This window comes from Homo sapiens, chromosome 22, assembly GCF_000001405.40.
Source record: "Homo sapiens chromosome 22, GRCh38.p14 Primary Assembly".
Taxonomy (NCBI): domain Eukaryota; kingdom Metazoa; phylum Chordata; class Mammalia; order Primates; family Hominidae; genus Homo; species Homo sapiens.
This window is the reverse complement of record NC_000022.11, coordinates 40,440,114-40,466,612: the sequence shown is the minus strand read 5'-3', so window position 1 is coordinate 40,466,612 and position 26,499 is coordinate 40,440,114. Positions and strand designations below refer to the sequence as shown.

At 43.7% G+C, this 26,499-nt stretch overlaps 1 protein-coding gene across 5 annotated transcripts in view, besides 2 other annotated features; it reads left to right on the top strand.

The window, feature by feature from the left end:
• MRTFA (myocardin related transcription factor A) overlaps nucleotides 1–26,499 on the top strand; it is a 226,431-nt gene that overhangs the window by 170,107 nt on the left and 29,825 nt on the right. For 4 of the 5 annotated variants that reach the window (NM_001282661.3, NM_020831.6, NM_001282662.3 and 1 more), the window contains one exon: nucleotides 3,327–3,392. In NM_001282661.3, the coding sequence (NP_001269590.2) occupies nucleotides 3,327–3,392 (66 nt within the window). Of the gene's footprint in view, nucleotides 1–3,172; nucleotides 3,393–26,499 lie in introns of those variants that run through there. The other variant, NM_001282660.2, reaches the window with a different exon arrangement.
• Nucleotides 2,955–3,064: an enhancer, noted in NCBI's record as "active region_19093". NCBI's record gives its function as "activates an Ori minimal core promoter by ATAC-STARR-seq in GM12878 lymphoblastoid cells {active_cell/tissue: GM12878}" and the evidence as "EXISTENCE:reporter gene assay evidence [ECO:0000049][PMID:35858748]".
• Nucleotides 10,660–10,883: a silencer, noted in NCBI's record as "fragment chr22:40851734-40851957 (GRCh37/hg19 assembly coordinates)". NCBI's record gives its function as "represses an EF-1alpha promoter that drives an FKBP-Casp9 reporter gene in an ReSE screen in HepG2 liver carcinoma cells and phorbol 12-myristate 13-acetate-treated (for megakaryocytic differentiation) K562 erythroleukemia cells {active_cell/tissue: HepG2 | K562(+PMA)}" and the evidence as "EXISTENCE:reporter gene assay evidence [ECO:0000049][PMID:32094911]".

Here is a 26,499-nt window from a genome sequence, read left to right as displayed (position 1 = left end):
TAATAGTTCATCTTACACTGGGCTTTAGAAACACTCTAAAAGATGACAATTATTTGCCCTTTTATCCCTCTTAGATTTTATCCTGCTTGGCTCTCCTTTTTCTTTCTGACAAAGAGGCACATTGCATATGATCAGGTGCCTCCACTTTAGAGTCACAGAAATGTGGGTACGAATCCTAGTTCCAGTACCTTTGAGCTGTGTGACAGAAGGCAAACTTTTAAAGGTCTGATTCTTAGTTTCCTCATCTGTAAAATGGAGATAATAACTGTAGCATCCTCACAGGGCTTTTTTAAAGGATTAAATAAGTTAAAAGCATGACAGTCACTTAACACAGGGTCTGACACATAGTAGCACACTCATTTATTATTTGTGTTTTATTAATGCAATTATTGTTGCTGATCTATGGTTATAATTTTTTTCTGAAATCAACTTCCTAGAGTAAATTTGTTTTACTGAAGTTGATCACCTGAATTCCTTTCACTCTGGTCGAACCATCTGTTTTAGCCCCTTTGTCTGTCTCACCAGAGAATAAACCCAGGTGATCACACTCCACTCCTGTTATCACAGTAGAGCAGGCTTTCAGAAGATCCTAGAGAGGCAAAGTAAGGAGCCCAGGTTTTGGAATCAGAATGCTTGTCTCCAAATCCTGTTCTACCTCTTATTAGTGGGATAGCCTTAGGTGTATTACTTAAACCTGCTGGGCCTCACTTTGCTTCTCGGTAAAATAGGATTAATAATACCTATCTTGGCCAGGCATAGTGCCTCACACCTGTAATCTCAGCACTTTTGGGAGGCTGAGACGGACAGATCACTTCAGCCCAGGAGTTCAAGACCAACCTGGGCAACATGGTGAAACCCTGTATCTACAAAAAAAAAAATTAAAAAATTACCGGGCATGGTGTCATGCACCTATAGTTCCAGCTACTCCAGAGGCTGAGGTGGGAGGATCTGTTGAGCCAGGGACGTCAAGGCCTTGGTGAGCTGAGATCATGCCACTGCACTCCAGCCTGGGTGACAGAGTGAGACCTTGTCTCAAAAAATAAAACACCAAAATGTATCTTCATATGGCTGTTAGGAAGAGTAAGTTAAAATATAAAAGAATGTAAAACAGTGTCTGGCACAGAGTACGTGCGTCATAAGTGTCAGCTATTATTGTAGCTCCTGCTGTTTTTATCGATTTAGTTCTCCAAGGCTTTGTTCTTAACAATGGTAATTTGTAAAATAATAATAGCCTCTTGGTTCAGTTTCTCAGACTGTTTGTAACATCCTTTTGAGATCCAGTTCAGTACAAGAAACCATTGTTGAATGCCTACTATGTATTAAGTGCTATGGGGGACATATATCAGTAAGGGATATTCTCTTCTCTCCAGGAACTTATAAACTGGTAGGAGAAGTAAGATGTTCAAGGGCTACTATTACACAAGGCAAAATATTATACTTTTCCCTAACATATAAAAGGTAGCTCACAGGAGGCCTAGAGTAACTGAATGCTGTGGAGTGAGTGGGGAAGTTCAGATGAACAGGGTAGGCATTTCCAGGTGAAGTGAATAAAAGAGGTAGGAAAAAATTCACGGTACTTGAGGAAGAGTAACTGGCCAGGCTTGATTAAGATAACTTGAAATGGGAGAGAGACACTACAGGCAAGGACACAGCCAGGGAGCTACCACTGCAGCATGGGAAAACATGGCAGGGTAAAATTGATAAGAGGGGAGTGTGAGTGTGAGGAGGTAGAGTTGAAGTTGGCCCAGACATTTAAAAAATACTGGGAAAGATAGTGATATCATTAAAGAAGTAAGAAGGATGGGAAGGGGATTAGGTTTTTGGGAGGAAAACAAGTTTGGCTTTGGATCTACTGAATTTGAGATGTAGGCAGGCGCATGGTTATGGTTCTGCGATTCTTGGACGCCTCCCTAAAAGCTACTCTGTGGATAGAAAAAGGCAGATATTAAGATGATTCCCAGTAGATTCTGGTTCCTCTCAGATGTGACTTGGAAGGCCCCTACACCTGAAGACTTAATTATGTAAGGAGGCTTTCCTTGGCCCGTGGGATCCTCCTAACCCTCCTCCTCTGAACATTTTCTTTTTTTTCTTTCTTTTTTTTTTTTAGACGGGGTCTTGCTCTGTTGCCCAGGCTGGAGTGCAGTGGCATGATCTCAGCTCACTGCAACCTCTGCAGTTTCTCATTTAGTCTCTGAATGACAGCTGTGCCATTGTCATTCTGTGTAGTTTGTAGTTGTAACACCGTTTAGGTTTAACTGGCTTTTGAAAGAAAGATAGTTGTTTTTTTTTTTTTTTTTTTTTTTCCTGAGACAGCATCTCACTCTCGTTACCCAGGCTGGAGTGAGAGAGAGTAGTGTGATCTCGGCTCACTGCAACCTCCGCCTCCCAGGTTCAAGCAATTCTCCTGCCTCAGCCTCCTGAGTAGCTGGGACTACAGGCGCGCACCACCACACCCGACTAATTTTTGTATTTTTAGTATAGATGGGGTTTCACTGTCTTGGCCAGGCTGGTCTCGAACTCCTGACCTTGTGATCCGCCCGCCTCGGTCTTCCAAAGTGCTGGGATTACATGTAGGCATGAGCCACTGTGCCTGGCTGATAGTTGATTTTTAACTTAAAAAAAATCCCTATTAAGTTTTTTCATTAAGCAGTATTGCCAGAGTGAAAATAAGAGAAACACCCATCAGTCTCCCCTAGCCCGGATGTGCTTTGAGTCATCTAGCTGAATTGTTTCACCTCAACAGAAAAGGCTCTAAGTGAAGAGAAAGAAGAAAAACAGAGGCATATTAACGGTAAAATATTTTCTAGGCTAGAAAAAGGCATTGCTTGGTGAAATGGCTATAATTTTTAGATACAAAAGAAAAAGAGTTTACAAATAGTACTTCCTGATCTGTGTGAGTAGTTCTTTCATTCACTATACTTATGGTGGTAAACATTTGTTAAGCGTAGAGCATCTGGAAAGCTTTTTTTGCTGGGTGGTGGTCCTCGTTAGGATATTTTGAGTTTGGAAGAGGTGTTTTTAAAAAAGTTTTAGGAGGAGGACTCAGTGTTTTGGAGGTTTTGAGCAAAAGGCAAGACTCTGATGCTTTGTGGATTGTTATCGCCCTGCAAGACCCTTCGCAACTTCCTCTCACCGCCCACAGCAGAATACGGAAACTCTGCTGTATCAGGCCACTTCTGCAATTACAGACAGTTGCACTTCAAGGGGACCCTTCTTTCACACTACATCCTTCTGTTTTTAGACTTTTTTTGCGTTTGAAAATGTGTTTTTTGAGGTGGAATACCCAACTGACCCCTCATCTCTCCTCTCTCTCTGCTGCCCTGCAGTGCTACAGTTGAAACTCCAGCAGCGCCGGACCCGGGAAGAACTGGTGAGCCAAGGGATCATGCCGCGTAAGTGCCTCTCTCTCTCAGCATTTGGTAGATTGCTTTTAGGACATGGCTGTGTTCACCGAGTATGCCATGGGAAGCATCTAACATAAAACAAGGATGATGCGTTTTATTTTCCACTCTCTTCTTTCTCATGACTTTCCAAGTTTAGAGCTCAATCACTAAATAGTTAAGATAACTAATTGATCAAGTTCAGTGAAACAAACTGTGTTTAAAGGGTCAAACCTGGTTTAAATTAGGTGTAAAGGGTGCCACTGAATTTTCCTTTACTTTGGAATTGCACCTTTAAAAGAGTTTTCACTCTGTTATACTTCCCTTTATAGGAGGGGCAGATCTTGAGCCTGGTGTATTGTGAGGAAGAACCACTTCTCCCATATGCTTTGCCTTCATGTTCTGGTTCTTAGGAAGAGAAACCTCTTTTCTGGTATTTTGAATCAACCACAGTTTTATGTAGAGTGAGATCCTGAGATACTCTAAGGCTGGCCTGGGCGTGAGCATGGCTGAGTAGAGTCGTTGATGGCGCTATCACGGCACCGGGCTCAGTGGGTGCAGAAGTCCATCCCTTAGGGGAAAAATGAAACCAAACCTTGGAATCTGTTAGAAGTAAGGAAATTTGCCTTTAATACCAACAGCATTATAAACGGAGCTGAAACTGGAGCTGGTGAGGTTTTGATCTTTCGGACCTTTCTTTTTTAAATCATCAGCAGAGAACATAGGCTCTCTTTTCTGTTTGTATGTTATCACTACTTGGATACACTGTAAGTCAAAAAACAATCATACAACTTCTGGCTTCATGGTGGGAGAACTGATGTTTTTCACTTTAACTCATTGTCTGCTGGCTGACTGCTACCATATTTTCCTAGCTCTCATTCATTCATTCATTCATTCATTCAAAATCTTTGAGTACCTAATATGTGATAGTTGATGCAGCAAGATAAATCCAGCTCTTGCTCTCAGGTGATTTATATTTAGAAGGGCAAGACTAGTAGTAGACAAGAAATTTCAGAGCAGGGATCACCTTGAAATGCAGTTGGTAAGTTCAGAGCCTGGTAAGTACTATCAAGTAAATTAACTGATTGGTGTGTTAATAAGTAATAGGAATAAGATGGAGTCACTTCGAATAAGATGTTCAAGAAAGGCCTCACTGAAGAGGAAAGATTTGAGCTGAGATCTAAAGGATCAGATGAAGCTGGCCATTCAGAAAGCAGGAAGAGGGCTCAGAGAGAAGAAAAAGCAAGTGTCTGGGCCTGGTGCAGGCCAGAAGTTGGTGTGTTTGGAGATCATCAAGTAAGCCAGTGTGGCTGGGGCATGGTGGAGAGAGAGAAGGGGCAAGTGAAGATGGGTAAGGTGGGCAGGGCTAGAGCCAGGGCATTATCACCCACATGGAGGAGGTGGATTTGGCTTTTAATTTTAATTTTTTTTTTTAAGACGGAGTCTTGCTCTGTTGCCCAGGCTGGAGTGCAGTGGCATAATCTGGGCTCACTGCAAGCTCCGCCTCCCGGGTTCACGCCATTCTCCTGCCTCAGCCTCCCAAATAGCTGGGACTACAGGTGCCCACCACAGCGCCTGGCTAATTTTTTTTTTTTTTTTTTTTTGTATTTTTAGTAGAGACGGGGTTTCACCGTATGAGCCAGGTTGGTCTCGATCTCTTGGCCTCGTGATCCTCCTGCCTCAGCCTCCCAAAGTGCTGGGATTACAGCCTGAGCCACTGTGTCCGGCCTTCATTTTAATTTTTAAGAGATGGGGTCTTGCTATGTTGCCCAGGCTGAACTCAACCTCCTGGGCTCAAGCAATCCTTCTGCCTCAGGCTCCTTAGTGGCAGGGACTACTGGTGTGCATCACCATGCCCAGCTGGATTTGGTTTTAAGTGCAATGGGAAGCCATTGAAGGCTTTTAAGCAAGTCAGAATGGACCTACCACAATAGTGATAGGGTCCATTTCTAAGAGAACCTTATAACAAGTGTAAGAAGCCTGGGGTCTATTTCTTTTAACTTTTTTTTTTTTTTTTTTTTTTTTTTTGAGACAAGTTCTTGCTCTGTCATCCAGGCTAAAGTGCAATGGCATGATCATGGCTCACTGCAGCGTCCACCTCTCTGGCTTTCAAGCAGATCTTCCCACCTCAGCCTCCTGAATAGCCCTGGGACTGTAGGTGTGAGCCATCATGCCTGGCTAATTATTTTTACTTTTTATAGAGATGGAGTCTACCTATGTTGCTCAGACTGGTCTTGAACTCCTGGGCTCAAGCGGTCCTCCTGCCTAACCCTCCCAAAGTGCTGGGATTACAGGTGTGAGCCACCTTGCCCGGCTTGGGGTCTATTTCTATCCTAAACATCAGCCCAGGGAGCTTAAGTCCCAAATTAATCTTTTTGTTTACTGCAGTTCACTGCCAGACTATTTACCTACATTATGCTGTCTTCTGTGGCCCTCCAGTGAAGGACTCTCTACCCCCAGTTCTTAAAGTGTTAGGTGGCTTGTTCATTGTATCAGCAATGTGATCAGGTAGGGCAATGCTGTGCTTTACAATACACTCCAAACCTCCCAGTCCATACTGTGGAGAAACAAGATAGCTACCCAGTTTCTCATCTACTTGTCCCTTTCACCAAGGACATCATATACTTAGTGTCTACTTTGTGCCTAGGGTAGTCCTAGATGCTACCAAGATTAAAGAAGTAAGAGGCATGGTATCTGCCCTCAAGGCATTGAACAGCCAAAATTTGGGCTGCCAAAACGTACCCATACACAAAATAAAGAGCAATTCAGTGCTGACACATGGGCTACTAACTGTAATTACAGCACTAATTCTGAGAGCATAATGCTACTTCTCAGGACCTGTAGTATGTTCAGGGTCTAAAAGCAGTGCACAGATTGAGTGCCCTGCTTTCTTTTTCCTGTCTTTCCTGTAGTAGCAGGGGCTACTGGAGATCATTGTTTAATAGGATTTATCTATTAGTCTCCTTACTTAGCATTTCTTGTAATATTCTATGTTGTTAAGACAAATGGGCCAGGCGCGGTGACTCACACCTATAATCCCAGCACTTTGGGAGGCCGAGGAGGGTGGATCACCTGAGGTCAGGAATTCCAGACCAGCCTGGCTAACATGGTGAAACCCCGTCTCTACTAAAAATACAAAAATTAGCCAGGCATGGTGGCGCGCCTGAGAGGCTGAGGCAGGAGTATTGCTTGAACCTGGGAGGCGGAGGCTGCAGCAAGCCGAGTTTGCACCACCGCACTCCAGCCTAGGCAACAGCGAGACCCCGTCTCAAAAAGACAAATGATGCTTTGGTTATTGCGGTTATCTGCTTATATGCTTGTATCTCCTGCTAGACTATGATCTCCTTGAGAAAGTATCATTCATGTGTGTATATATATATATATATATATATATATATATATGTATATATGTGTGTGTGTGTGTGTGTGTGTGTGTGTGTGTGTGTGTGTATATTTTATCAGTCCCGTCCCCAGTGCCTGGCACTGAATGAAGGAATGAATGAAGACAGCCAGTTGTAAAGTACAGTGTGTGCATGTGTATATGAGAGAGAGAGTCTGACAAACTGAAATAGATACCGCTCTATTGAAAACCTGTTGGAATTCTGGGCATGGAGTTTGAAACAACACTCCCATTCTGTCAGGAGCCCGGATTCTAAAATTGTCCTGAATATCTAATTGTATACTTTGGGTTGTTCTCTGTGTCTGTGAAGTGAGAATAATTGCCTTTCCTGTGGGAATAGAAATGACCTGCTTCTATGAGAATATTGCATTTTCCCATATACCAAGATCCACCTTCAGCTATGGACATAGTCTTGTTATCAGCTTTTCTAGAGAAGGAAGTAGGTAAGAAATGCTTAGATTATGAGAGAGAATGTTGAGGACTGGGAATAGTTTCAGGTGTGAATTTCCTCCTCATTTACGTCCCTGTTGGTACATGGATAGGGTCTGGTGTTCCCAAAAACGAGGCTCTTTTTTTTTTTTTTTTTTTTTTTTGCCAGACCCCTACCTAGTGAGTAACCCTCCCTCACCACTACCCTGTGTCCCCCGACTCCTTTTGTAATCTCCAACATCCTCTGCCGCCCCAACACCCCGTCATCCTGCTGACTCCCACTAATCCCACTCCTCACCCTCCACTCCATGTCTTTTTTTTTTTTTTTTGAGACAAAGTCTCACTCTGTCGCCGAGGCTGGAGTGCAGTGGCGCGATCTCAGCTCACTGCAGCCTCTGCCTCCTGGGTTCAAGCAATTATCTCGCCTCAGCCTTCCCGAGTAGCTGGGACTATAGGTGTGCACCACCATACCCAGCTAATTTTTGTATTTTAGAGATGGAGTTTCGCCATGTTGGCCAGGGTGGTCTCGAACTCCTGACCTCAAGTGATCTGCCCACCTCGGCCTTCCAAAGTGCTGAGATTACAGGCATGAGCCTCCACGCCCGGCCAGCCTGAGGTGTTTCTGAAAACAGCTCTCAGATTTAAGTTTGTTGTACAACTTAGGAGGTAGGCAGAGCCCTCAAGCCGAGGGAATGGGCACGTTAGTTATGGCTGTATTTTGTCTCATCATTTCTGGTTGATATCTTTTATCAAATTCTTCTCCTTTGAATTTTGCTGCCTCCAGGAAGGAAAAAAACCCATCTACCTCATCTTCCAGAACACTTGCACATAGTTACCACGTAGGACTGGCTGTCAGTCCTGACATCGTCATATCTGTAGGACACAGTGTGCTTCAGTGGTTCCCTTCCCTTCAGGGTTGTTCTGTTTCTATATGTCATTCAGTGTTGGGGTCTGACCTTTCCATAAAGTTGAAGGGATTAAAGAATCCCCTAATTCCTATATACCTCTCTGTACTGCTTGATATGCTCTGATCATAGCATCTCAACTGTGAGATACAGAAGTTGGTTTCTGATGTGCTATTAAACAGAATCATTTTGCAGTATTCTTTATTCTCATCATGTAAACATAAGTTTCAAATTTAACGTCACTTAACTCTACCAAATACAGAGTGCCAGATAGCAGAGGCTTGTATGGTCTAGGCCCTAAATTTTCACTAATGATGTCTCGCACATATCTTGAGGGATAGGACAGATGGCAGAGATAGGGAGCTGGTCTTGAAATCCAAAGATTAAGACCAGGAATGCCACTGTATCCAGGATGAAGACTCACAGAAGAAACTGGTCATATTTGGTACACTTTGTTCTCAAAGCTTCCCCTGAAGCCTTTCTCTTTGATGTTTAAAGGTGTACAAGGTCATAAGGTTAAGGTGAAAATTTAAGAAAAACGTTCTGGCATGAGAGCTGTTGCAGAGGATAACCTTTCAAAGGAAAACATGGAAGTTTTTCTGACCTAGACAAATCAGAAAAGGGTCTCCTCCTGTATTCTTTCTGGATGTGAGAGAAGCTTGTTTGTCTCTTGTCAGTCTTTTATAATTGAGAATCCTTGAAATAAAGCATATAGTACCATGTTTCTAATGCTACAGTTAACCCTCAACTTACTATTTTCCCATGTGCCAGTAGTAGAAAAACCTTGAATAACACGTGAGGAAATAATTATTTTTGTCGTATAGATCTTCGAAGACCTTGCTCTGTCTTCTTGACAGAGCTTGTTTTTTTCATTTCTAATGATGTTCCTGTGCACCCATAGCAGAGTTAAAATTTCTTCTTAAAAGTGCCAGGATTGATTACTACGGTCTCTCTCTGTCTGAAGTTGCATATCTCTCTCTCTTTTTCTTTCTTTCTCTTTCTTTCTTTCCTTCTTTCTTTCTTTCTTTCTTTCTTTCTTTCTTTCTTTCTTTCTTTCTTTCTCTTTCTTTCTTTCATTCTGTCTCTCTCTCTCTTTCTTTCTTTCTTTTTCTTTTCTTTCCTTTCTTTCTTGACAAAATCTCACTTGCTCTCCCAGGCTGGATTGGAGTGCAGTGGCGCCATCTAAGCTCACTGCAACCTCCGCCTCCTGGGTTCAAGCGATTTTCTTGCCTCAGCCTCCCAAGTAGCTCAGATTACAGGGACCGGCCACCACGCCCAGCTAATTTTTGTATTTATAGTAGAGACGTGGTTTCGCCATGTTGGCCAGGCTGGTCTTGAACTCCTGACCTCAGGTGATCTGCCCACCTCAGCCTCCCAAAGTGCTGGGATTACAGGCGTGAGCCACTATGCCTGGTCCTGCAATTCTTAATGATGTTTTTGTTATTTGTAACTTGGGAATCGTTAACTTACATTATTCTTCACCAAATATGCAACCTAGGTTTCAACATTCTTTTTCCTGAGTACATGTGAATCAAATACATTTTGGTAAAGCTCTTTTAAAACTAAATTTTTTAAAAAAATGGATTAGATTGTGACTCACTAATGAGATGTTCAGGATTTAGTAACCAGTAGACAGAATCTAGGACCTTAGGCTAGCCCAGTTTGTGCAGAGATGACAAAAGAAATCAAAGGATACAGAGACTTCAACTTATTTTATGATAGGCTGAGCCGATACAGTAACAGTAATGGTGATAATAAAGATATAAAATGAGCCAAAAGAAAACTTTTTAAAATTTGTTTATATATATTTTTGAGACAGGATCTGGTTCTGTTATCCAGGCTGGAGTGCAGTGGCGCAATCTCAGCTCACTGCAACCTCTGCCTCCTGGCCCAAACCATCCTCCCACCTCAGCCTTCTGAGTAGCTGAGACTACAGGTGCGGGCCAGCACGTCCAGCTAGTTTTTGTATTATTAGTAGAAATGCGGTTTTGCCATGTTGCCCAGGTTGGTCTCAAACTCTGGGCTCAAAATGATCTGCTTGTCTCGGCCTCCCAAAGTGCTGAGATCACAGGCGTGAGCCACTGCAACTGGCCTAAGTTTAATTTTATTTATTGAACAATCCCCGAACCAGAATAGGTGCAGAGAGGCTCCCCTGAATCTTTTAAAATAGTATTTTTTTTTTTTACAGAAGTTTCAGTTTCACAGCAAAGTTGAGCAGAAGATATGGAGATTTTTCATATACCCCCCTGCTAAAAATTATAAGTAATTTTTCATTTTTTAGTTTTTATAGCCCCTGGAAAGATAAACCAACTTCCTAAATCTTCAGTGTTTCTCGTAATAAGACCGGAAGGGGTTATGATTTGACATTGTCACTATCAGGCTATCTTTATTAAATACTTGGATGGGCTGAGCCTGGTGGCTTATGCCTGTAATCCCAGCACTTTGGGAGGCCGAGGCCAGCCTGGTTACCATGGCGAAACCCAGTCTCTACTAAAAATACACACACACAAAAATTAACCAGGCGTGGTGGTGCATGCCTGTAGTCCCAGCTACTTGGGAGGCTGAAGCAGGGGGAATTGCTTGAACCTGGGAGGTGGAGGTTGCACCACTGCACTCCAGTCTGGGCGACAGAGTGAGACTTCATCTCATAAATACATACATACATACATACATACATACATACATACATACATACTGGGATACCATGGGATCTTTTTGTTGTTGTTGTTGTGTCCCCCAACTCCTGTTGTAATCTCCAACATCCTCTGCCACCCCGACACCCTGTCATCCTGCTGACTCCCACTAACCCCACTCCTCACCCTCCACTCCATATGTTTTTTTTTTTTTTTTTTTGAGACTGCATCTGGCTCTGTCACCCAGGCTGGAGTGCAGTGGCGCGATCTCGGCTCACTGCAAGCTCCGCCTCCCGGGTTCACACCATTCTCCTGCCTCGGCCTCCTGAGTAGCTGGGACTACGGGCACCCGCCACCATGCCTGGCAAGTTTTTTGTATTTTTAGTAGAGACGGGGTTTCACCGTGTTAGCCAGGATGGTCTCAATCTCCTGACCTCGTGATCCGCCCGCCTCAGCCTCCCAAAGTGCTGGGATTACAGGTGTGAGCCACCGCACCCGGCCGCCATGGGATCTTTTCTCCAAGTTATGAATTCAAAAGAACTAGGTGCTAGACCAGCCCTGTCCAATAGTATGTTAAGTGAAGATAGAACTATTTCTATAAGACTAACCATTAGCCGCATGTGCTGTTGAACATACTTGAGTTGAAAAACTGAATTTTAATTTTTATTTAATTTTAATTAATTTAGATTTAAATAGGCACATGTGGCTATTCTAATTAAATAGTCACATTTGGCTAGTTGCTACTGTATTAGAAAGTGGAGTTTTAGGCCAGGCACAGTGGCTCACATTTGCAGTCCCAGCACATGGTGAGGCCAAGGCAGGAAGGTCTCTTGAGCCCAGGAGTTTGAAACCAGCTGGGGCAAGATAGACCCCCATCTCTCCAAAAAGTTTTTAAAAATTAGCCAGGCATGATATCACATGCTTGTGGCCTTAGCAACTTAGTAGGCTGAGACAGGAGGATGGCTTGAGCCTTAAACCCAGAAGGTCAAGGTTGCAGTGAGCTGTGTTCATGCCACTGCACTCCAGCCTGGATGACAGAGCAAGACCCTGTCTCAAGATAAATACACAAATATATACATACATGCATACGAACAAAAGAAAGAGAGTCTTAGACCTTGCTCTGTTACTTAGGAGTTAGAAGACTTTGGGCAACTCAGTAACTTTTCTGAACTCCCAGTTTCATATAGTTGGGATAATAACCCATCTTAAAGGTTACTCACAGAATTAGTTACCCATGGAGTGATAACTTACCCACAGAGTGAGTTTGGAGATCAAATGAGATGATGTATTGTTCGTGCTTTTGAAATGTAGGAAGTAATATTCTCATTTAAGAATGGAGGAGCTTGGATCCACCATCTTGATGTTGTGACTATGAAAGCAGCTTTAATATACACACACACACACACCTACCTCTAAGTTATGTCAAAACTAGTATTTAGGAATGCAACTGGGCTGGGTGTAGTGGCTCATGCCTGTAATTTCAGCACTTTGGGAGGCCAAGGTGAGTGGATTGCTTGAGCTCAGGAGTTTGAGACCAGCCTGGACAACATGGCGAAATCTAATCTCTACAAAAAATACAGAAATTAGCTGGATGTGGTAGCAAGTGCCTGTAGTCACAGCTTAGGAGGCTGAGGCAAGAGGATCGCTTAGCCTGGGAGCTGAGATTGTGCCACTGCACTCTAGCCTGGGCAACAGAGTGAGACCCTGCCTCCCTCACACCCCCACCCAAAAGGAATAGGAACTGTTTTCCAATAAATACAGTTCTTAATTTTACTTTCTTTCCTATCAGTGGATTAAAAGACAATTGCTATAAATTGTTAGAAATCAAAGAACCACTAGTCAGCATGGTACTACTCTGTTAAGATCATTCTCCTTTTGGTCATATATTAGCAGGACTATCATTTTATGAGCTTGCCCTCTTCCTGGGAGTAGATGTTTCTTTTTAACCTCTTTCTCTTGAAAGCAAACAAACAAGTGGCTGTGTTAGAAATGTTTTTAAATTTCTGGGCAACTTACCAAGAGACAGAAATGTTTACCAGTGGGAATGCAGTAGTGATTCCAGGGCAGATGAGGGTCTGGTTTGAGAGTGATCTGTCCTCCATCCCCACTCCTATTTTTTTTAACAATTTTTTTTTTTAACTAAAATTGTAGGTTTCAAGAAAATAGCACTTGTTTGCTTTTAAGTGGAGTGTTACACTATCAAAGACATTAAGTCTCAGTGGATACTTCATCAGTGAGTGAGTTTGGGTGGGGACTAAGGCAAGGGCAAATCCTCTCTCTCTGGGCCTTTATCATCTCTCATACGCTCTAGTCCATTTGGGAGTTACTGAAAGCTCTGTGTGATCATCTCTCAACTGCTGCCCCTGTGTGTCAAAGAAGTTTGGCTATGATCCACCCAGTGCCCCTTTCCAATAGGAGCCCAGAAAAGGCTTTCCCCAAACCTTGCAGTTGGCCCTCTGCCCCAGTCCGGTCAGTGCCCTCGGACTCCCGCTTCCGTCAGAGCTCAGTTGCAGGATATGGTGGTGTAACCCATTTGGTGATCGTTTCCTTATCTTTTCATTCTTTAAGAGGCAGAGAACCCTACCTAGTGAGATGATGTGTCCTCACTACAGGAATGTGACTGTGTAATTGTAGTTGAATCCCTAGTTTAAGTTGCATTTGATAAACATCACAGTGAAACATGTTTTCCAGAAGTGAGGCTGACCTGATCCCTAGAGTTGAAGCTGAGAGAAAATTGTGTTAGGTATGTGGCTTCAGGAATCTTCTCTTTTATCACAGGAGAAGGCACATCAGTCCCAGGCATTTTACGTTGCATTTGTGTCAACATCCTTGTCTCGCTTCTGCTGTTGTAGAGTGTGTTTCTACCTCAGTGATCAGTGACTAGCATAGAACCTCCTTCTTGGCCAGTTGCCAACAAATCCTTAAATAATACTCTGCAGTGAGTGGTGTGTTCATGTTCTGAGTGTATTCATGGTTCGGTCCGAAGAAGAATCCAACCATGAGCTGTGTTGAATAGGCCATAAAAAGTAGTCGTCATCATTTTTTTTTTTTTTTTTTTTTGAGACGGAGTGTTGCTCTGTTGCCCAGGCAGGAGTGCAGTGGGGCAATCTTGGCTCACTGAATCCTCTGCCTCCTGGGTTCAAGCAATTGCCTCGGCCTCCTAGGTAGCTGGGATTACAGGCGCCTGCCACCCACGCCCGGCTAATTTTTGTATTTTTAGTAGAGACGAGGTTTCACCATGCTCGAACTCCTGACCTCAGGTGATCCGTCCACCTCGACCTCCCCAAAGTGCTGGGATTACAGTCATGAGCCATTGTGCCTGGCTGAAAGTAGTCTTTTTGATATGAGTTCTTGTTACAGTTTGATGTCTAAAAAGTACAGCAGGTGTTAAGTTTCATTAATAATTGGTTATTGAAGAATCTGAGATATCCAAGGCTAACTTCTTATCAAGAGTAAAAGAAGGTTATAACGTCACTTGTAGGTACTACTCAACTATTTTACCTGAACAATACACATCTTAATCACATGCCCAAGGGGAGTCCTGATAGATAACTGATGATGGTGGTGATTTAAAAGTCTTCAGGCCAGGCGCGATAGCTTATGCCAGTAATCCCAGCACTTGGGGAGGCCGAGGCAGGTGGATCACGAGGTCAACAGATCAAGACCATCCTGGCCAACGTGGTGAAACCTCTGTCTCTACTAAAAATACAAAAAATTAGCTGGGTGTGATGGCACGCGCCTGTCGTCCCAGCTACTCGGGAGGCTGAGGCAGGAGAATCACTTGAACCTGGGAGGCAGAGGTGGCAGTGAGCCGAGATCACACCACTGCACTCCAGCCTTGGCTACAGGGTGAGACTCTGTCTCAAAAAAAAAAAAAAAAAAAAAAAAAACCAAAAAAAAAAAACTTCAGCCAGGTGGGATGTTATTTGCAGGAGGGCACAGGTGACCTGGAATTTGTATTCTAAACAGATCACTTAGACGTATTGATTATGGGGACTTCAGAAAGAGGCAGTAGCTTTTTTAAAAAAATTGGTTTGCACTTTGCCAAAAAGTATACTGGAGTGAAAATAGACTGATCCAGGGTCTTAGACTGGGCTGTGGTATGAAAGCTAGATATAAACATGCCTGGCCTATGTCAAAGAGAAGCCTAGAAGGTCAGATTCAAAATATTTGACCACTGGTATGTTAACCTTTTGGAATTCCCTGTGTCGATACTCGTGCTAAATGAGATTGTGTGCTCACCTGTCTCAGTCTTGAGCCTCTTTGACCATCAGTGGGTCAAGAGCAGGAGACGCTGGAACAGTTTGCACTCTTGGGAAGGAAAAGATTGAGCATCCTGCGTCTCCACTTCTTACATTCATTCTTGGGAGTTGGTCTTCCTGCTGGTTTGGGTGGGGGTGATAGCCGGTGCCAAAACGGGTGGTGGCAAGCGTGCATACCAAAACAGGATGTGTATGAAGAACCCTTTATGACTGCTAGTTTGGATCGTTGCTTGCCCCAGAATATGCAGTCCCTTCTCCACACCCCGCCACCCAAATGCTTTCATTGATTCACATGAACTTAATTTTGGTGCTCATTTATCATGGTCAGTCTCTCGAACTGTTGACAACTCTTTGGTTGATGGTCTTTGTTAAAGGATTTTTGTAGGCATTTTTAGTGTGTCAGCTAAAAACAGAAAGACAAAAAATGGAAGTCAAGCCCGGTCCAATTAGCTCTCAGCATTTGACTCCATATACCTGCTGTTTCTTCCAGAATGGTAATAAAGGAAAAAAGCTACATCAGTAACAGCCCTTAAACTTAACATAGCTTCTAGCAGATGGCAAAGCACTTTCATTTTAATGCTAATAATTACCCAGTGCAGCAGTTAGTATAATTGCCATTTTGCAGATGAGGCTACTGAGCCTCAGAGGGGTCATGGGACTTGCTGTAGGTTACACGGGCACTGAAAGATAGGCAGACCCAATCCGGGTTTTCTGGCTACAAACCCTGTGCTAATTCCTGAAAGTCACAGTTTATACTGGTTCTTGTCCACATTGGAATTTTTGTGATGACAGCCTGCTATGCTTTCGCCAAAATTTCAACTTTAAAAAATCTTTGAAAATTGAGGAGGCTGGGTGTGGTGGCTCAAGCCTGTAATCCCAGCACTTTGGGAGATTGAGGTGGGTGGATCACTTGAGGTCAGGTGGTTGAGACCAGCCTGGCCAATGTGATGAAACCCTGTTTCTACTTTAAAAAAAAAAAAATTAGCCAGCTGTGGTGGCAGGCGCCTGTAATCCCAGCTACTTGGGAGGCTGAGGCAGGAGAATCACTTGAATCTGGGAGATGGAGGCTGCAGTGAGCCCAGATTGCACCACTGCACTCCAGGCTGGGCGACAGAGTTAGACTCCATCTCAAAAATGAATAAATAAATACACTATTAAAAAAAAAAAGAAAATTGAAAACAGCATCAAAGCAGGATCCATAGTTGGTGAGATCAGGTGGTGGAAGTGTCATTTGTAAGCGCTTCAGTACAAGTGCTTTCAGGTTGCTGTTCATTTGAAGGCCATGGGCATCTTTCTTCTTCTGTCATAATAACCCTTTGGTACATCAGAGGTTCTTGATTTCTTTTGTGCCATATATTCTTCATAGGGAATCTTCCACATCCTCTCAGAGTTGTCTAAGCAAGCACCTAAAATTCACATAGTTCCAGGGATCTATAGCTGCTCTAAAGTGGGTACAGTGTGCTCTAGGTTAAGAGATTCTGATCTACCCGGATATGGAATCCTAAGAAAAATCCTATCTAATGCTAGTGTCAACCCTTACATACCAGTGACACAGCCAACCTCTTCTGTCACTCAGTGTGTGAGGGACCCTCTCCATTCCCTGCACTACCAGTGAACCTCTGTGCTCCTCACCTTTTGGGTGCTAAGACCAAGGACTACATTTCTGTAGCTGCTTTCCATTGGGTGACTACCATGCCCCTGATAAAAATATCAGGGTGTGGAATCCATCCCATCTGAATTAAGCCCTAGCCAGGGTGTGAGGAAGATGGCAAAAAGCCCAGATTCTCTGACTCCCAGAAAAATATGCATTGCAATGATCCTGAAAGGAGTCCAGGAAATTAAAACTCTTTACCCACACAGCCAACAGAATTGACATTTTGAATCAAGCTATTGAGAAAATTCAGCAAGTCCTTCTTTACTAAGTGTAGTTTTAATCAGCACCTGGTATTAGAGAATAAGCAAATAAAATTCTTACTTTCTCACCTCTTCTTTGCCTTTGTTAGATTAGGGAAGCAATGTTTTCCGAATTTAGTGGCTTTAGCATTACCCAAAGAGCTTACTAAAGATTATTCTTAAGGCCTAGGAATCTGCATTCCAAGAGATTCTTGCACACCACAGACATTTTCATGCAAATGATTCTTGAACTACACTTGGAGAAACCCTGGGCTGTGGACTGCTGGCCTCTTTCCCCTTTTCATTTTTAGTGTGGCACAGAATATTTTTATTCTCTTCTTCCCAAGAGTTCTGAAGTAGAAGATTGCCCTGTCCCCATGATTCAAGAGTTAATGGCAAATTTCCGTTCTTTTCTTTTCTTTTTTTTTTTTTTTTTCTCGTTTGGAGACCGAGTCTCGTTCTGTCACCCAGGCTGGAGTGTAGTGGCGCAATCTCGGCTCACTACAAGCTCCGCCTCCTGGGTTCACGCCATTCTCCTGCCTCAGCCTCCAGAGTAGCTGGGACTACAGGCACCCGCCACCACGCCCGGCTAATTGTTTTTGTATTTTTAGTAGAGACGGGGTTTCACTATTTTAGCCGGGATGGTCTCAATGTCCTGACCTCATGATCCACCCGCCTCGGCCTCCCAAAGTCCTGGGATTACAGGCGTGAGCCACTGCGCCCGGCTGAGAGTTAATGGCAGATTTCTAAGACAGCTGACGCTTTTGCATATAAGATGACTGGGTACAGAAAAATTCTGAGCGTTCATCTCCAATGCTCGGAAAAGCCTGGCTTGCCTGCCTCTCTCATAGCTTTGTACCATATCGCTGGTCATTTTTGGCAAGTCAGTTAACTGCCTAAAGCTGTATGAGAAACTAATGCTAGGGCCAAAGGATGTGGCAAAAGACTCAGTTAACTTTGGATGGAGTTTGATTATACAGTGACTCTCTTTTCTGCTGTGCTGAAGGGAAAAGAAATAGGAGAATTTGTGCCCCTTTGACATTTTCTGAGGTTAGATCTGAAGCCTTCCCTGCTGTCTCATTGCCAATATTAGAGAAAATGACAAGGCAGCATTTATTTCCAAAGGAATAGCTAGGAAAAGATGGCCAAATGTGAAAGACTAGATTAAAATCACTGTTGTCTGTTATTTATTTGGTAACCCATCATGCATTTTGTTTCATCTTGGGGTTTTTTATTTAGAGACAGGTCTAGTTCTGTTGCCTAGGCTGGAGTGCAGTGGTGTGATCTTGGCTCACAGCAACCTTTGCCTCCCGGGCTCAAGTGATCCTCCCACCTCAGCCTCCCGAGTAGCTGGGATCACAGGGGTGTGCCACCACACCCAGCTAATTTATTTATTTTTTTGAGACAGAGTCTCGCTCTGTTGCCCAGGCTGGAGTGCAGTGGTGTGATCTTGGCTCGCTGCAACCTCCGCTACCCGGGTTCAAGCGATTCTCCTGCCTCAGCCTCCCGAGCAGCTGGGATTACAGGCGTGCACCGTCACACCCAGCTGATTTTTGTATTTTTAGTAGAGATGGGGTTTCACCGTGTTGGCCAGGATGCTCTTGATCTCTTGACCTCGTGATCCGCCCACCTCGTACTCCCAAAGTGTTGGGATTACAGGCGTGAGCCACCACGCCCAGCCCCAGCTAATTTTTTTGTAGAGATGGGGTCTCGCTAGCTTGAACTCCTGGGCTCAAGCAATATGCCCTCCTTGGCCTCCCAAAGTGTTGGAATTACAACCACACCGGGCATATCACACACTTCGTTTTCTATACTCCTTTACCTTCTGCCACCTCTTGATGAAATATATGTAAATAAAAAGATTTGGAATCAAAAGAACCAGAGTCTAGTGTTCATTCTGTAGTTGATTAGGATGTGATCTCAGGAAAGTCATTTCCCAACTGTAAAATGTGGAAAATAGTAAGTACTGAGAAGCTGAAGTGAGGTAATTTCTAACACATTGTGGAGGTTATTGGGGAAAACAAGGAGACCATTTTCAGCAAACCTGTTTATTTATGTTACCTCAGAAGCCTTTTTGTCAGTGTCAAGGTTCGCAGGCACCATTCTACTTTATTTCTTCTCATTATAGTTCACAGTTTTACAGGGTCCTGTGTGGCTTTGTCTCCCTGTGTTTCCACCCACTCTTCTTGTTTTCTGCCACCCTGGCCTCCTTGATGCCATGCAGGCAGGATCCCACTGAGAGCCTTTCCACATGCTGTTCTCTGCTTGGAGGGCTGTCTCCCAGAGGACTGCAGGGCTCACTCCCTTTTTTTACATCTCTCCTCCAATGTCACTTTTTTTTTCTTTTTTCTTTTTTTTTTTTGAAACAAAGACTCTGTTACTTAGGCTGGAGAGCAGTGGCTCAGTCTTAGCTCATCACAGCCTCAACCTCCTGGCCTCAAACAGTCCTCCTGCCTCGGCTCCCCCAAATAGATCGGACTACAGGTGCGCGCCACCATGCCTAATTTTTGTATTTTTCATAGAGACGGAGTTTCACTATATTGCCCAGGCTGGTCTTGAACTTCTGACCTCAAGCGATCTGCTTGCCTTGGCCTCCCAAAGTGCTAGGATTACAGGCATGAGCTGCCACCCCCAGCCAAATGTCACCTTATCAGAAAGTCTTTCCCTGACCACTCCATATAAAATGACCTCACCCCATCACTGTCACTTATAACTTGCTTTATAGTTCTTCATAGCATATACTGCCTCCTACTGTGTTACATGTTTGTTTTATGTATATCTTTCTTCAATTAAGTATAAGCTCCACGAAAACATGAATAACCCAACACTAAAACAGGGTCCGACACATGTAGGCTCGCAGATATTTATTGGAAGAATGAATGAGTAATGAACTGTTAGCACATCTGTAAGTAACCTCTTAGGGGACACATACCTCTGACTCCACTTTCTCACTTCTTATTCACTCTTTAATCTGTTGCAGTAAGTTTGTGCTTCCACCAATCCACTGGCATAGCTCTGAGACCACTGGCTATGTCCTAAGCATAAGTGATTCTCTGGAAACTTTATAAGCCTTATTTTGCCTGACTTCCCCACTGTTAGTGTCTCTCTGTCTTTCTGTCTACAGGCTTTTTCTTGAAGCTTACTTGGGGTAATAGCTTTGCCTCCTCCCCTCCTGCCTCTGTGGCCCTCCTCAGATTCCTGTGCTGGGTGGGCTCTCTTCATGCCTGTCCTTGAGTTCTGTGATTCTCCAAGACAGAACACAGTTTCTCCCCCACTTCCCTAAGTTTACTCGCCCTGGATCACCTGTCCAGGAGTGTTAATAGCACAACCATTCACCCAGTCACTCCAATTTGTTCTTTTAAGTGGCCTCTTGAACATTACTAGAGTGATCATAAAAATGCAGTCCTTGCTATTTTGCAATTTTATTGAAAAAATCAATTTTGTAAAAATCAGTTCAGACAAGGATCATCAGTAGATGCTAAAACTGTTATTAGGCAGTTAGTTGTGGGAAAACAGGATTTTCACGTGGCATCAAAATGATACCCCATAGATTATGTGTTAATTACAAAGACAGATCTGGTGTCACCTTTCAAACTTTTAGCACCATCACTGGTTATACAGCCTGATAACATATGCCCCTTGATGTTAAGAAGTACATATACCTATGTTTTCTTCTTGCCAAAAATGTTTAACCTAAATCTAATCATGAGGAAGCAAATTTAGAATACAGAACATTGTGCAAGACAAACAGCTTAGATACTTAAGTCAGTGTCATGAAAATGAAAAAGGTAGGGGTACTGTTCTAGATTGTGACCAAATTGACAACAACCAAATGCAGTGCATGATTCTTGATTAAATCTTGGGACCAGGTGTGGTGGCTCACGCCTGTAATCCCAGCAATTTGGGAGGCCAAGGCAGGTGGATCACGAGGTGAGGAGTTCAAGACCAGCCTGACCAACACGGTGAAACCCCGTCTTTACTAAAAATACAGAAAATTAGCCGGGCATGGTGGTGGGTACCTGTAATCCCAGCTACTCAGGAGGCTGAGGCAGGAGAATGGCTTGATCCCAGGAGGTGGAGGTTGCAGTGAGCCGAGATTGCGCCATCGAGATTGTGCCATTGCACTCCAGCCTGGGCAACAGAGCAAGACTCCGTCTCAAAAACAAAACAAAACAAAAAAAAACCCCTTGGCTTGGGGGAAAAATCTAAACAGCTATAAAAGAACATTTTGGAGGCAATTGAGGAAATTCAGATATGGACTGTAGGTTATATTGAATTAATTTTTTCAGGTGCGATAAAAGTATCTTAGTTATGTAAGAAAATGTCCTTATTCTTAGGAAATGCACACTGAAGAATTTAGGGGTAAAATGTCATAACTGATATCTGCAACTTTCAAGTGATTCCATAAGTGAAGAAAATTACGGTATATGAGAGAAAGAGAATAAATATGGCTAAAAGATAACTGGTCAATCTAGGTCAGAGTTATAAAGCTGTTCATTATTTGTTCTTTCAGTGTTTCTGTAGGTTTGAAAAGTGCAAAATTGAGGGAGGGAAGGGAGTTGTGAGAGTGTGTATGTTGGGGGTAATGAAATTAATATATGGCAGTCACCAGGTGTATTCTTGATAATTTTTATTTATTTATTTGAGACAGGCTCTTATTCTGTTGCCCAGGCTGGAGTGTAGTGGTGTGATCACGGCTCACTGCAGCCTGGACCTCCCCAGCTCAGGCGATTCTTCCATCTCAGCCTCCCAAGTAGCTGGGACTACAGGTGATTGCCACCATGCCTGACTAGTTTTTAAATTTTTCTGTAGAGTGGGTGCCGCCACATTGCCCAAGCTGGTGCCAAACTCCTGGCCTCAAGTGATCCACTGGCCTTGGCCTGCCAGGGTGCTGGGGTTACAGGTGTGAGCCACTGCACCAGGCCCTCATTTTTTTTTTTTAAAACATAAAACATCAAGTCAGAAGCAACTCCCCTGCCCACCTCCATGCAGTTCTGATTATATCCTTCCCTTGCCACATATCCCTTCTCTGATGAATGTGGTGGCTACACGTCGATCTCAGGATGCAATCCTTAATAGCACGTGAGAAATATCGTGCCATTTCCTTTGGGCTCCATGGTTTCTGATGAGAAATACGCTGTCATTCAAATTGTTTTTCTCTGACTGTAAAGATTTTTTCTTTTAGTTTTCCAAAGTTTAATTATGGCTTATGTTACTATAAATTTTTTTCCAGTTATCTTATTTGGGGTTTAACTTGGCTTGTTGAATCTGTAGACTTACATATCTTGCCAAATTTGGGAAGTTTTCGGCAATTAATGTAAGAACTGTTTCAGCCCCACCCTCTTTTTCCTCTCTTTCATCACTTCTGTGACACAATGTTAGATTTTTTATTAAAGTCTCACAGGCTCCTGGGGCTCTGTTCTTTTATTTCCCTTCTCCAGTCTCTTTTCTTTCTGTTGTTCAGATTAGGTATTTCTATTCTGTATTCTGGTTCACCGAATCTTTCCTTTGTCTCCTTTATTCTGCTGTAATATGTTTGTAATATGTTAGGAGTCTCTGTATGTTCTTTCCTGTTTTAGCTGACCCTTTGAATCTGGTTCAGTAGGGAAGGTGGGGATGGTGCCATCTCGTTATGACCAGGTGGAAATAGAAGTTCAGGTTCCTCATTTGGCAGCCACTGACATCTGAGTTGGTGGTAGGAGAGGGACTTCTCATTCGGGGCGAGAGTTCCAGCTCCCAATGTAGTCTGTATGCACACCATGGTGGGGGTGCATGCTGTTACCACTGGGCAGTGGCGAAAGTCATGGCTCTCCACCAGCCCTCCTCTGACATCATCCAGCAGGGACTGGGAGAGGTGCCTTATGAATGCCAGATAGGGAGGGGTGTTTGTTACTGGCTGGTGGGAATGAAAGCAGCTTCCTACTTGGCCCTTTCTGACACCACCCCAGCCAAGGGTATTGGGGCATCTCATTACACCCTTGCAAGGATGGAAGTCTAGATTCCTAACTTGGCCTTTAGGGGGAGGTGGGAATGAGACCACCATTTTTTTCTGTGGTATTTGGAGTAGAACAAGTATCTAAAAGTTTTCTGTTGTGCTGGGCTGCCCTTTCCTAATCCTTTGGCTAGAGAGAACATATTTTGCTAGGGCTTTTTTTTGTCTGTACCCATTGGCATTTTTGGGTTGCCAACATCTTCAGCTTTAAGCCTGGATATATGAAGCAGAAAAAAAAAGGGAGGGGGTGGGGAACTTACCACCATGTCTCTTTTTTTGGGTCCCATGGTCCCTAGCTAGTTCTCTCCACCTTACAGTATCTACTTTTGCTTGTTTCATATAGAATGTTCAGAGTTTTAACTAGTACTTAGTGACAAAAATACAGAAAAATGTCTACCCCATCTGAAGCAGAAGCCTCTACAGTAGTACATTAAGTTTTTTTTGTTTGTTTTTGTTTTTGTTTTTTTTTGAGACAGTCTTGCTGTGTCGCTCAGGCTAGAGTGCAGTGGCATGATCTTGGCTGACTGCAACCTCTGCCTCCTGGATTCAAGCAATTCTCCTGCCTCAGCCTCCTGAGGAGTTGGGATTACAGGTGTGCGTAACCACACCCGGCTAATTTTTGTCTGTTTAGTAGAGACGGGGTTTTGCCATGTTGGCCAGGCTGGTTTCGAACTCCTGACCTCAAGTGATCCCCCCCGACCTCGGCCTCCCAAAGTGCTGGGATTACAGGTGTGAGCCACTGTGCCTAGCCCATTAAAGTTCTTAATGGAGTGGGCCCAGCTTATTCTTCTAGCCACATTATCCTCACTTGAATTCCTTGGTTCAACCATATCAAACTACTTGTAGTTCTTTGAGCTTGCCTTGTTCTTTTATACCTTCATGTTTGTGTTCTAGTTCTTCCTTAGCCTCAGCTATCTCCCCACTCTTCCTTGTCTGGCTTTGGTGTTCCTATTCAATTCATTTACACACTGTTCCCCCAGGTTAAATTTTGCCTCTTTTGTCCTTTACAGCACCTTAAATTACCACTACTGTTTTACTTCCATCTTATATTTGTCTCTTTTCCCCACTAGACCATCATCTTTTTGAGGACTGGGACCCCATCTGTATATTCTTATCCTCAGTGACTGGCATAGTGCTTACTTAAGGGCTGCTTATTGGATACATGGATGGATGGGTGGGTGGGCGGGCAGATGGAGGGATGGATGGATGGAAATATTTCTAGTTTCTACCTCGTTTGTTAAATGGGTTTATTCCTATACACACATGTAGCCCTCATTGATGTTCTGTGTATATGCTCCCTGCTTCCACACTGGAAAAAGAAACCCAGCAGGCTTGCCTGAAAGAAGGGCTGCTTGGACTGTGGCACTCCAGTGACCTCTATTAAGTGTATTATGTTCATAGCCTTTGAGTTCCTCTGGTTACAGAATTGTTGGTGAGCTTCTGGCGTATTATCAGAGATAGGAACCATCATTTTTATTACGATAACACCTAATAAAGCAACATTCAGACCTAGACACTTAATACATATTCCTTCATGATAGTGATGAGGAAATGAGGTTTCATAATGAATTGTTGTCATTCCTTGCTCAGAGGCATTTCTAGAACTGCTTGTGAATCCTAGAAGACTCATTTACCTACTTGTTTAAGTAAATCTGGAGCTGGCAAGGGAAAAGTGTTGGCTTGATGTCCTAAATTACCAAGGTAGGTTGGTTTTTAAGAGTCTTCATACTTACTCTTCAGTGCCAGATTAAATCAAGACCATTCTGGCCCTGGGGCCCCTGCGCTGTCATCACACATCTGTGTCGACACACTGAGCACAGCACTGAGCTCCTCCTTTGCTATATATTGGATGCCTGTGTGAAAGTGTGTGTGTGTGTGTGTGTGTGTATATATATATATACACATACATACATGTATATATTTTTTCCCCCCGAGATGGAGTCTTGCTCTGTCACCCAGGTTGGAGTACAGTGTCACGGTCTCGGCTCACTGCAACCTTCGCCTCCCAGGTTTAAGCATTTCTCCTGCCTCAGCCTCCAGAGTAGCTGGGATTATAGGCGCGCACCACCACGCCCAGCTAATTTTTGTATTTTTAGTAGTGGGGGGTGGTTTCACCATGTTGGCCAGGCTGGTCTCGAACTCCTGACCTCAGGTGATCCACCTGCCTCGGCCTCCCAAAGTGCTGGGATTACGGGCGTGAGCCACTGCGCCCAGCCTGGATGCCAGTATGTATTTAAAAATTAAGTGGAAACAGTTTTTCACCTTTTATATCTTTAATTGACAAATGACCTCATTTAATTTAGGCAGCAAACAAGTTAGGAGAGAAAGAAAATGGGTGCTGGAAAGAGGGAACAAAATATTAATTGGTAGTTGTAGCCAGCCAGGGGCGGGGTCCACATCTAGAACTGAAACTGTGATTAAGAATGGCACACCTCTTGGCCACTTCTGTTCATTTGTTTTCTCTGGGGAGCTTGCTTATTTTTCCTTTCAGGATTTTCTGCACACTTCCTTTGTTCACACAAAGCCACACAAGAGCTCCAATGGAACCAGCTCCTGGGGCAGCAGGAAAGGATCGAGAACTACCCTCTGATATTGAATATATATATTCTTATAAACACACATGACTCTTGTCTTTGCATTGGTCTTTGGGGGCTTCTCTTTCTAGAGACTGCTTTCTTGGAGTGTCTGGGAAAATGCAGTTTTGAGTAATATGCTGGCTCCTCCTAGCAAAGCTATTAAGGTAGCAGGGAGAGGGGAGATGGAGTCTAAGATGAATGCAGCCCTCGTAGTTGGACACACATTTATGGGGTAACTTTAAGTCCTTTTTTTCTTCAATTGGCAGAGGCCTAAACTTGGAAACCTATTTTCTGCTTCCTCGTGTCTTACCTCCTTGGCATGGAACTTGAGGTGATCTGACTCCCCATTGTCATTTGCTCCTACAGTCAAGAAAGCCCAGGGCTTAACCTGTAGCACTCTTACATCCCTTCACTAGGCTACCCTCCACATGGTGGCTTTTAACAAAGCTGGCGGGACACACACAGGAGTTGCCCTCTCCACCTCAAACCCCAGTGCACCAAGAGCACTTGCTGTGGCTACTCCAGCCTCTCCCCAGATGAACTGAGAGACACCCAGCAGGAAGTCCTGACACAAACCTGAAGGAAGAGGGGCCAGTGCTCCCTCCTCCTTTCACCTGGCAGAAGTAGCTGTTGAAATTGCTGAATCTGCTATCAGAGAGAAGAATTAAAAATGAGGAAAGAGGAGCACAGACTAAGCTGGCCTACTCAGGGACTGAGAGAAACTGACACATTTGTCAGAAGGTTTAGACAAGGGAAGAAAGGAAAGGCAGAACTAGACCTGGGTTGGGGTCCACCACTCGATGAATGAATGATCTGGCAGGTTACTGCATCTCAGCCAGTGTCAGTTTCATCACACATGAAATAACGGTCCCTGCCTCATGGGCTATGAAGAGGATCCAGTGAGATTATAATGTTATTATTACTATAAAATGAAACAGTCTTTTGGGATTGGTCATTATGATCTTGAATTCTTTTTTTTTTTTTTTTTTTTGAGACGGAGTCTCACTCTGTCACCCAGGCTGGAGTGCA